Genomic DNA, 13,030 nt, shown 5'->3' with positions numbered 1-13,030 from the left:
AGTTTAGAGTTAAAATTATCTGTAGAAAATAATGCAGGGGCTCACAAATTTCTTCTAATTGTGATCTCATATTTATTGTTATTGCCTTTATTTTTTTCCTAACATTGAAAAATGTGATCTATTCATCTACCCAGCCATCTTAGCAGATTTTCTATTATATATATTACAAAGGCATTTATTTCCACATCTCAGTTAGAAGACAGTAATTAGAATGTTGGTAACTCAAGTAATATTTGAGAGCATTTAGATGTTACATCAAAAACATCTGCATTAAACGAAATGAGTTTCATTTACATAGAGGCTTTCCCTGCTGAATACCATTTTCCCATATCCCCCTGATGGCTGCCTATGATGTCATCAATCCTTGCTTTAATTGGGTCATCCTATTCTGGAGTTCTCATAGCTATTTCCACACTATATCATGCAATTCCAAAGCCTTCACCACTGTTCAAAGTTCTGTGGTGGTTCAACTGAAATAAGCTTATTTTCTTTTCACTCTTTTTAGAACTGCTGACTTAACAGCATGTGTTTTAAATTTCTCTTTTAACCAGTACCTGCTAGTGCCTTGGTATCCAAAGTGTTTGGTTTGAACGACTGTATCAGCATCACCTGGAATCCTACTGGAAATGCAGAATCTCCAGCTTCATTACAGACTACCGAATCAGAATTTGCATTTTAACAAGATCCCTGGGTGATTTTTATGCATTTGAACGTTGAGAAGCAATGTTCTTGTGCACCAAGTCACCCTCCCTTTATAACCCCATTACCTTGTTCCTATCTAGCAAAAGCAAAAATAAAATTGGATCTAACAAATCATGTGCGAGGGAAAGAGGTAAAGAGATCTGCTCTTCAATATGTAAATGAACACATTTATTTGTTGTCTCGCATCTCTGTCCTACCCTCTATTACATTTGTACTGTTCATATCCAGTTTCTCTCTACTCATGTTGCCAGGCAGGCCATCTCCTTCCTCTGCTACAGACCCCTCACTTAATCCAGATTGTAACTCCTTCATTCCGCACCGTTAGCAAACATGCTTCTTTTAGCTAATAATCTTTTAAACATTCATTCAATTTTCTCCTCCATTTCATCCTTCCATGTCTCTGGGTTATTGTGGGATTTTAGTAATTTTTCAGTTATTCTTCTATTACATTAATTAAGCCTTAGGACCTACAGGTTTAATACTCTTTACTCAGTGTGTCATTTTGAATCAAAAATGCTTTCCATATCCTATTCAAACAAGTCTAACCTTGTCTCTGTCTCCCAGTTCTCCAGCTTCAACTTAACTCAGCTTCTCAACAATATTTTACTCAGTTGTCATCTCCTTCCTTCCCCAGATTTTTCTCATAGCAAATTGGCCAAGGTTTAAGAGTCTTCCAACTTCTAAATATTGGTTAACTCTGGGCTTTTCTATTTTCTCTCTCCAGCCCCTCCGTAGGTGATCCATCCAAGGTTGTGGCTTTAAATATGACCCATATCCTCAAGACAATAATTTCTTTCCTATCTATCTTCTAAATCTCTCCTAAACACCAAACTTTATTAAACTACATACTAGACACCTCCGCATTGATTGTGTGCTATTTGGATTTTTTAAAAAATTTATATATAAGTGATACCTAGATCACTAGCTAAATGATTAAGACATTAAATTCATGTTTACAGCTCCAGAAATGAAAACTCAACCAATTTCCTAAAGAACAGTAACACATCATATCATCAACTCATAAACATCTGAGGATAGAAGTGAGTTTCCAGGAACTGCACAGACACCAAATATATAATGACGTGATCTGAGTCTGAAAGCATTCAGTGAGGCCTGCTGTTTATAATATGGCCTCACTGGCTCAGGGTCTAAACAGAACATATATGGAAATAAAGTTTTGACTCCTTCCTCTATACTCAATCTATCTCTTCATTAGTCTTCTCCAGCTCAGTAATTGGTAAACTACATACTCTATTATTCAAATAAAACCCAAAGTTCATCATTAATTTATTCCTTTCCTTGAGTCCAAACATTCAGGTCATCACCAAGTCTTTGATACATGTCTTCAATGTGCTCATTTTTTTCTCTATAACTCTAATTCAAGCTACCATAACCTTTTTTCCTAAGATTATTTTCACAACTTAATTGGTTTCCCTGCTTCTAACCTTACACCCTAAAACCCAATGTTCACACAGTGATCATTATAAAACATAATTCAGCCTACACTATTTTTTTTTATTTACCTGCATGGGACAGTCCAATGACTTTTCAAATACTTTATCTGCATTTATGATATAATTTTACATATTTCCTAGACTACTTGTCCTACACTCACTATACTCCAGAATATAGGCTTCCTTTCTCTTCATTCAAATTGATAAGCTCTCCTGCCTCATGATCTTAACATCCTGTTTCCCCCTGGCTTTCTGTGTGATTGGCTCCTCTCATCATTCTGTTTTCTATCCTAACACCACCCCCTTACCTTGCACATAAAGTACCTTATTTACCCAATTTGCTCTTTTTAAATTGCTCTCTTTATTCTAGAAATTTTTGATACTTAAAATTAACATATTATTTGGTATATAAAACAAGAACAGTGATTTTTATGTCTTAATCAGCATATTTCCCCACCTCCTAAAACAGCATATCAGAATATCTACTGTTTAATATATATTTGATGAATGAATGAAAAGAGAGAAAGATAACCTGTTCTTATAGAGCTTATTGTCTACTAGATTAAGAATCAAAGTAAAGGTTCAAGTAAAATGTTACATGAATACAAGATCATTATTATTTTCTTTGGAATTATTATTATCTTTATCTTCATTTCAGAAATGAAGTAAATGCAGAAAGACATTATTCTTACTCCTTTCAAGCTGTTATAACAAAATACCATAAATGATGTAGCTTACAAATAACAGACATATATTTTTCACAGTTCTGGGTACCAGGAAGTCCAAGATCAAGGCAAAGGCAGATTCAGTGTCTGGTGAGGACCCACTTTCTGGGTCAGAGGTGGTGATTTCTTGCATGTCTTCACATGGTGGAAGGAGCCAGTTAGCTCTCTGGGGCTTCTTTTATTTAAGTACTAATCCTATTCATGAAAGCTCCACCCTCATTACCTAAGCAACTCTGAAAGACCCCACCACCTTCTAATACTATCACATTAGAGATTAGGTTTCAATATATGCACTTTTGAGGAGGATACAAACATTCAGACCATAGCATACTTACACTCAGGGAAGACTATATGAACTCTCAGGAATTTACAAACACTGCTTTTAAAAATGTGATCCTCGGCCCCTGAACTATTAACATGAATAAGGTTCAAGACTGGAAACAGTATGCTATGGTATAATGTCAAATACTTCAATAGGAGTCTGAGAAATTGGATTCATTCTTATTCTACTACTTTCTAATTGTGGCAACTTGAGTGAGTCTTTTCACTTATTTGATGTCTATACATTTTGCTACCAGTTATGGGGATAATCCCTGTCTAATGAACTAAGGTTGTTATAAAGGTTAACCTGACATAACGTATATATGTATAGATAGATGAATTAATGGGCCACAGACAGAGAGACTGGGAAGGCTGCACAAGGCTTGACAGAATGCGAGTCATATACTGGAGATTAATAATGTCTTTTTGTATTCACTTCATCTCAGATTATAAAAATAATATCTCTAGCTTTACTGATTTTGTAATACTCTTCCCCAAACATCTTTCATTATTATGCACTCTTAGTATATTGTGACTTCTTCCCATCCACTAATGGTTAGTATTAAGAGTAGAGGCAGAGATTGTGAGCATAACTTATAATACATACATATCAAATGTAATAATACAATCAAAACATGCACGTAGAAATGAGTGTGTAGATAAACACATTTTGGGCTGAGTACTGTAAAATTCTGTAAGAGTAATCACCGACTAATAAAAAATAACATCTCTCTTATAAAGAAAAAAAGGAAAGTATAGAAAATTATAAAGAAACAAAATATGCTATCCATAATTCAACTATCCAAACAAATCACACAATTAGAAAATTTATTCCTGGTCTTTTCATGTATGTTTTTACTATATTTGAGATCATTCAATAAAAGTAATTCTATACCATTTTTCTTCATCCAACATATGTTAATGTAGCTATTTCAATAACTGCTTTTTGGCAATAATATTGTTAGTATCATTGGATTTTTTGGAATTTATATAGTTAAGTGATACCTATATCACTAGCTAAATAATGAAGACACATTAAATTCACGTTCACAGCTCCAGAAACAAAGACTCAACCAATTTCCTAAAGAATAGTAACATCATATCGTCAACTCATAAATGTCTAAGGATAGAAGTGCCCTTCCAGGAACTGCATAGACGCCAAATATATAATGATGTGAGCTGAGTCTGAAAGCATTCAGTGAGCCCTGCTGTTTATAATATGGCCTCACTGGCCCAGGGCCTAAAAGCAATCACCTCATAAGTCAAAATTTTAACGAATTATTTTAAAAGTTACCTACTCAAGTAGTTTGGTCTGCCCTCAGCTTTGAATTAAATATATCATCCTGGGGTTGCCTCAAGGTTTGGAATAAAGCTGATAAAATTTATTTTACAGTTTTAGTACCCAAATAGTATTGAATTTCTAGGAAATCTAAAATCATGAAAAAATAAGCAAATGAAAGTTAACCTTTCTTCCTGAATAGTTTGGTGGTATTTAAGCACACAAAAGAACTTCAGCAATGTCTATGAAAAGATATTTTGAAATAATGGAGCTGGTTTACGAGGGATATCTATTCCTACAAAGTAGAGATTAACATATTTAATTAAAATAGTCCAGAGAACACAGTCTAACATTTGTCCTAAAATAAGATGAACATTTTCACAATTATTATGCACTCACCACTTTTTCCCTACTGCCTTGTCTTATTTTTCCTTCTCTGATCTCAAAACTCCAATCATGCAGGCATATATCAAATGCTATGTATTAACCTTTTATAAATTCACACTATTGGTTCTATTGAATTAAAACATTTATATACATATATATATATTCATACCTATCTGTATATCCATCTAGAAATTTTTTAAAGCAGGTGAATTAATTCAATTACATTTAATCATTGCTAACATCAGCATGACATATTCAAAGGCATATCACTTTTTAAATTAATACTGAAATTTCATTGCATAAGACTAACAAAGAGATGCATGGAAAAAAATGTCTTGAAAAAATTGTCTTAGTGTGAATTACGGTAAAGAAATGGTGGGCTACAGTAATAATAGAGGATATAAATCTTAATTACAGCCATTCCATTTTAAAATTGAGATGGTATGAGATAAGGGAAACAGAATCTACATCTGCTCATGGATACTCTATTCCTAGGTCAGCTCCCATTCTTGGGAAAACATAGAGATAACTGATAGAAAAAGAAGAACGCCTATGTTGTGAACTCGTATGTGAAGTTTCTACTGTCATACAATAGAATAACTGGTTCTGAGTAGGGTCAAGTTGTAAGAAAATAAACTAAGATAGAAACTAAGTTGCATGAACTGGGCCAATATAAGAGGTTGCAAGAGGAAGGACTGAGATGCAAATTAGGTTCCATAATAATCCAAAGTCAAGCCTTCCATTCACTGGATCTAGGATAATTGTTAACTTTAAATCTTGGAAGGACAGATAAAGCATTGTCATGCCTTCTAATTCTAATAAATTGAGCCCAGAAACTGGGATGCTCCAAAAACTTTAGGTGGGAAACAGAAACAGAATTGAGAAGTTAGTGCAGGTGAAGGTGGAGATGACAATGTAACATTGAAGACTTAAATGAAAGTTTCTAATACTTGAAAGTCCTTAACTAGGACCAACTACTCTTAAAGCTGCAAAACTTGGTCAGGCTCTCAAAGCTGTTGTAATTGCTCCTTATAGTTTTTCACTGCCAATAAATATGCTGAATCATATAAGGAGGTCACAGGATTCCCATGTTTACTCCTAATAAGAAGAAAAAAAAGGAGCTATTTCTAATTTTTGATCAGGAATTAACCATTTTTTTTTTCATTGACAGAGAGGGGTATAAAATTACCATTAAAAGAAGACTGGATTAATCCATTCTTGCATTACTATAAATACCTGACACTGACTAATTTAAAAAGAAAAGGGATTTAATTGGCTTACAGTCCCACAGGTTAAACAGGAAGCATGATCTTGCATCTGCCCAGCTTCTAGGGAGGCCTCAGGAAACTTATCATCATGGTGGAAAAGAAGGGGGCCACTTTATATGGTGGGAGAAGGAGGAAGAGGGGGTGAGGTGCCTCACATTTTTAGACAACCAAATCTCACAAGAACTCACTCACTGTCATGAGTACAGTACTAAGGGGGATGGTGCTAAACCATTCATGGGAAATCCATTCCCATGATTCAATCACCTCCCACCAGGCCCCACTTCCAACACTGAGGATTACAATTTGACTTGAGATTTGGTAGGGACACAGATCCAAAGCATATCATTCTGCCACTGCCCCATACAATCACACCTTTCCAATAGTTCTCCAAAGTCTTAATTCATTCCAGCATTAATTCAAAATTCCAAAGTCCAAAGTCTTATCTGAGACAAGGCAAATCCCTTCCATGTATGAGCCTGTTAAATAAAAACAAGTTACTTACTTCCAATATACAATGGAGGTATAGGCATTTGGTAAATACTCCAGTTACAAAAGGGAAAAATTGGCCAGAACAAAGGACCTATGGGCCTCATGCAAGTCTGAAACCCAGCAGCACAGTCATTACATCTTATAATTCCAAAATAATATCCTTTGACTCCATCCATGTCTCACATCCAGGGCACACTGGTGTGAGGAGTGAGCTCCCAAGGCCCTGGAAAGCTCTGCCCTTGTGGCTTTGCAGGATTTAGCCCCCACAGCTGCTCTCATGAGCTGGGGTTGAGTGTCTGCATCTTTTCCAGACACAGAGTGAAAGTTGTCAGTGGATCTACCTTCACAGGACCTGGAGGATGGTGGCCCTCTTCTCACAGCTGCACTAGACAGTGCCCAAGTGGGGACTCTGTATGGAGAATCCAATCCCACATCTCCCTGCCCAACTGCCCTAGTAGAGGTTCTTTGTGAGGGCTCTGCCCCTGCAGCAGGCTTCTGCCTGGACATGCAGGCTTTTTCATACATCCTCTGAAATCTAGGTGAAGGTTCCCAAACCCCAACTCTTGCACTCTGTGCACCTGCAGGCTTAATACCACATGGAAACCACCAAGACTTACAGCTTGCACCCTCCAAGGCAGCAACATGAGCTTTATCTGGGGGCCCTTGAGCCATGGCTGGAGCTGGAACAGCTGGGATGCAGGGAACAGTGTGCCGAGGCTGTGCAGGGAAGCATGGCCCTGGGCCTGGCCTCCAAAACCTTCAGTTTTTCTAGGCCACAGGGCCTGTGATGGGAGGGACTGTCACACAGGTCTCTGAAATGCTTTTGAGGCCTTTTCTCCATTGTCTTGGCTGTTAGCACTTGGCTCCTTTTTGCTTATGCGAATTTCTGCAGTCTGTTTGAATTCCTCCTCTGAAAATGGGATTTTCTTTTCTACCACATGAGCAGACTGCAAATTTTCTAAACTTTTATACTCTGCTTCTCCTTTAAAAATAAGTTCCAACTTTAGGTCATTTCTTCGCTCACACATATGAGCATAGATGGTTAGAAGCAGCCAGGCTACATCATGGACACTTTACTGTTTAAAAATTTCTTCCATGAGATACCCTAAATCATCATTCCCAAGTTCAAAGTTCCATAGATCCCTAGCCCAGGGGCACAGTGAAGCCAAATTCTTTGCTGAGACATAGCAAAGGTGACCTTTGCTCCAATTCCCAATGAGTTTTTTATTTCCATTTGAGACCTCATCAGCCTGGTCTTCACTGCCCATATCACTATCAGCATTTTGGTCATAACCATTTAACCATTTTCTATGATGTTTCAAACTTTCCCTCATGTTCTTGTCTTTTTCTGAACCTTCCAAACTCTTTCAACTTCTGCCAGTTACCCAATTTAAAAGTGGCTTCAACATTTCAGATATCTTTGCAGCAATGCCCCTTTCCTTGGTACCAATTTTCTGTATTAGTCTGTTCTCACATTGCTATAAAGAAATACCTGAGACTGGGTAATTTATAAAGAAAAGAGGTTTAATTGGCTCATCATTCCAGAAGCTGTACAGAAAACATGCTGGCATCTGCTCAGCTTCTGGGGATGCCTCAGGAAACCTACAATCATGATAGAGGTGAAGGGGGAGCAGACACTTCACATGGTGAAAGCAGGAGGAAGACAGAGAGCAGGGAGGTACTACACACTTTAAAACAACCAGATCTAATAAGAACTCACTCACTGTCATGAGGACAGTACCAAGGGGAATGGTGCTAAACCATGCATGAAAAATACGACCCTGTGATCCAGTCACCTCCCACCAGGCCCCACCACCAACACTTGGGATGACAATTCAACTTGATTTTTGGTGGGGACACAGATCCAAACCATATCAGAGATCTTTGGTGGAAGAGCATGGAGTAGAATAAATTACTAGGTTATAGTTATATACTTGAAATTATAAAATTGAGAATCATAGGATATCTAAATTTCACATATTTATATAAGATACTTCTTAGTAAGGGTTTTATTTTAGAACAGTTTAGATTTATGAAATTATTGTGAAGATAGCCCAGACAATTCCCATATACCCTACACTCAGTTTTCTCTTAGTATTAACATCTTACATTAGTTTGGTACATTTGCTATACTTAATGACCAATTATTGTTACATTAAATTAATTAAAGTTTTAGTCCTATTTAGATTTCCTTAGTTTGAACTTAATGTCATTATTCTATTCCAGGATCCCATCCAGGATACCACATTACATTTTGTATTCATGTCTCCTTAAGTGCCTCTTGGCTTTGACAATTTTTTAGACATTACTTGCTTTTGGAGACCTTGAGAGTTTTAATAAGTATAGGTTAGGTTTTTGCAGAATGTTTCTCTCGTTTGAGATTTGTTTTTTTTCCCATGATTAGACAGGGGTTATGCTTCTGTTTTGTTTTTTTGAGGAAAGGCCACAGATGTTATATGCCATTCTCATGATATCATATGAAGGTTACATACTATCAGTATGATTTATCACTGTTGATACTGATTTTGATCACCTGTCTGAGGTAGCATTTGTCAAGTTTGCCTACTCTAAAATTTTTTTCCCTATTTCTACACTTTATTCTTCGGAAGGAAGTCACTATCCAAAGCTCACACTGAAGGAATGAGGAGTTATGCTTTACCTAATCAAAAGTGGAGTATCTACATGAATTATTTTAAATTCTTCTGCATGTGAGGTTTATCTACTCTTCCCATTTGTTCATTTATTGAGGAATTTTTGTATATCAGCATGAACTCAGGTATATTTGTTTTATACATTGTGTTATAATCCAACATTATTTATTTTGTTGCTTACATTGTTCCAGCTTCAGTCACTGATAGTTCTTCCAGTTGGTTCCTGTCTCTCTTTGGCATATTTGTTCCCATCATTCTATCATTCTGGGATTTTTGAAAGTTTGTTTTTGTTTTGTTTTTGTTTGTTTGTTTGTAAACACTTTCTCATGTTCTGGTACTACAAAATTTTGCAGACTCCTTTTGTGTATTTTCTGTCCCAGTCATAGAATCAACCGTAACTTCAACAAGTCCTGTTTCCTTATATCTGGGTACTACTGGTTTTTGTTATTTTTAGCACCAACCAGCTGCAGAGCAAGGGAATATGTGTGTATATACTAACCAGTGTATTTACACATTTTTATGAATATTTTCATATGTAACCATCTGTATCTCTGTTAAGCAAAACATGAGTTTGTACTTATATCTCCAACTCTAATCCATTAACACATGGATAGTTTTAGCTTCCTGCCCTTGCATATTGGTAACTTCTCATGCCAACAGTAACAAATCTGGCATCCATAATCCACCATACATTTAATTATTCAATTCTCATATAAAAGAATAGTAGGATTAGACTTTTAAACCTGTATCCCTGCAGGAAACAACTTTATCAACTAGAGTACAGTACTTACATAGCTTTCCAAAATTACAAAAATCAGTACTTTCCTCCTTACACTCACTTCGTTGAGGTTGGATCATACATTTGGAATACAGTTAAATTGTTTTGTCACATTTTGTATTCCATCAGGAGATTCAATGACCTCCTACAGGAATTTATTAAGCCTTTGCATATAATGAGGTGAATGCATTGTGCTGTAATTTCTATGGGTTTTGACAAATGCATAGTGTCATGTATCTGCCATTACAGTATTATACATAATAGTTTCACTGTCCTAAAATATTTTATATTTTTCACTTATTTAATACTTTCCTCATCCTCTACGCCACAGCCCTGGAAACAACTGATTTTTTTTTTTTTTTTTACCATCTCTATGGTTTTGACTTTTCCAAAATGTCAAATAATTTTTATTATAGTATACGTAGCATTTCCAGATTAGATTCTTTCACATAGTAACTAGTTAAGATTCATCCATGTCTTTTCATGCTTTGATAGTCACTTCTTTTTATCACTGAATAATACTCCAACTTGTATGTAGTTTCTTTATCCATTCACTTTTGAAAACCATCTTGGTTGCTTCTAGTCTTTGTTGATTAAAAATAGAGCTGCTGTAACCATCCATGTGTATATTTTTGCAAGGACATAATTTTTTGCTTCATTTAGGTAAATATGTAAGACCAAGAGTGCTAGATTGTACAGCAAGAAGAGTTTAGCTTTCCCAGAAAATGTCAAACTATTCTTCAAAGGAGCTATGTCGTTTTGGATTCTCAAAGGCAATGATTGAGAGTTTCCGGTTGCTCTGCATTCTTGCTAGCAATTTGCATTGCCAGATTTTTAGATTTTAGCTATTGTAATAGACGTGCAGTGGTATTTCTTTAGTTTTTCTTTGAAATTTTGTTTAATTTGAAATTCCCTAATGAGAAATGATACTAACTATCCTTTTGTATGGTTATTTGCTATTTGTATATCTTCTTTGATGTTTTTTGCCCACTATTAAATTATATTGCATATTTTATTTTTGCTCTGTTTAATAATTCTCTGTATATTTTGGACACAAATCTATTATCTGATATGTGTTTTTAAAGTATTTTCATGCAGTCTATCATAGAGTATTTCTTAGAGAAATTGAAAATTTTAATAATGTTCAACTTTTTGTTTTCATAGATTGTGCTTTTGGTGTTGTATCTAAAAGGTTCTCCCCAGGAAAATAATCACATTGATTTTATTGTAGATTTTCTTCAGAAGTTTATAGTTTTGAATATTATATTGAAGGCTAATAACCATTTTGAGTTAATTTTTGTGAAATGTATAAGTTCTAGGTCTGAATTTACTCTCTTTCTCTCTCTGCATAATACTATTGTCAATGACTATTTGTTAAAAGAGTGCCTTTTCTCTACTGAATTGCCTGTGCTCTTTTATCAAAGATAATCTGACTGTATATGTATTTGTATGTGCAAGCTTTCTATTCTGTTCATTGACCTATGTGTTTATACTTTCCACAAAACCATCCTGTCTTCACTTCTATTTTATAGTAAGTGTTGAAATAATAAATCTTTTTAGTAAGTACAGTAAACAAAATGTAAGTGTCAGTTTCCCAACTTTGTTCTTCTTCTTCAACACTGTTTTGGCTATTCTAGGTTTTTTGCCTTTCCATATAAACTGCTTAGTCATTTTGCTCATAGATACAAAATAGCTTATTGGGCTTTTGATCATGGTGTATTGAATCTGTAGATCAAGTTGAAAGCACTGACATATAAACAATATTTAGTTTTCCAATCCATGAACATAGAATATCTCTCTATTGTCTTAGACCTTCTTTGATTTCTTTGTCTGATAATATGAGTTTTATAGTTTTCTGTACAGGTATCTTTTGCATATTTTGTTAGATTTATATCTTAGCATATCATTTTTTAGTGTTACAGTAAATGTCATTTTTTTGTTTTATTTTTAAATTTCAAATTCTAATTGTTCATTTCTGGTATATAGGAAAGTAATAACTTTTGTGGATTGAAATTTTATCCAGAGACCTTCCTATATTTGCTTATTAGTTCAAATTGAGTTTTTTAATCAGTGCTCTGGGAATTTCTATATATACAATTATGCTATTGGTGAACAAAGACAGTTTTGTTTATTTCTTCCCAATCTTTTTACCTTTTATATTTTTCTTGTCTTGTTGCACTAGCTAGGACTTCCAGTATGGCATTCCATAGGAATGGTGACAGATGACATCCTGGCCTTGCTCCTGATGCTGGCAGAAGTGACCAGTTTCCCATCATTTAAGTATGTTAGTTGCAGATTTTTTGTAGGTGTTCCTTATAAAGCTGAGAAAACACACCTATTCTTAATCTACTCAGAATTTTCATTATGAATTGGTTTGAATTTTGTCAAATGCTTTTTATGCATAAATTTATAAAATCATATGATTTTTCTTTTTTAGCCCATGGATTTGATAGATTACATTCATTGAGCTTCAAAGGTTTAAAAAGCCTCACAATAACCGAAAAAATATCACTGGATTGCAAAGTATAATTCTCTATACACTATTGGATTTAATTTGCTAATATTTTGTCGCAACATTTGTGTTTATGTTCACTAGAGATAGTAGATCTTGGTTTTCCTTTTTTTTTTATATGGACTTTATCTTGGTTTGGTTAATGCTAAACTCAAAGAATAAGGTAGGAAGTATTACCTCTGCTTATATTTTCTGGAAGAGATTGTAGAGAATTCTATCATTTCCCCCTCATCCGTCACCCTTTAATTGCATGGAAGAATTCACCAGTGAAGCCATTGGAGTCTGATGCTTTCTGTTTTGGAAGCCTATTAATCATTGGTTCAATTTTTAAGAAACAAAGACCCATTTACTTTATCTATTTCTATGTATGTGACTTTTGGTAGTTTGTGTTTTTCAAGAAAACGAAAAATTTCACTTAAGATAGGAAATAGTTAAAAATGTTTATAAAATTTGTTAACGTAGAG

This window comes from Homo sapiens, chromosome 4 (genome assembly GCF_000001405.40).
Source record: "Homo sapiens chromosome 4, GRCh38.p14 Primary Assembly".
NCBI lineage: Eukaryota > Metazoa > Chordata > Mammalia > Primates > Hominidae > Homo > Homo sapiens.
Note: the sequence above shows the minus strand (reverse complement) of the source record.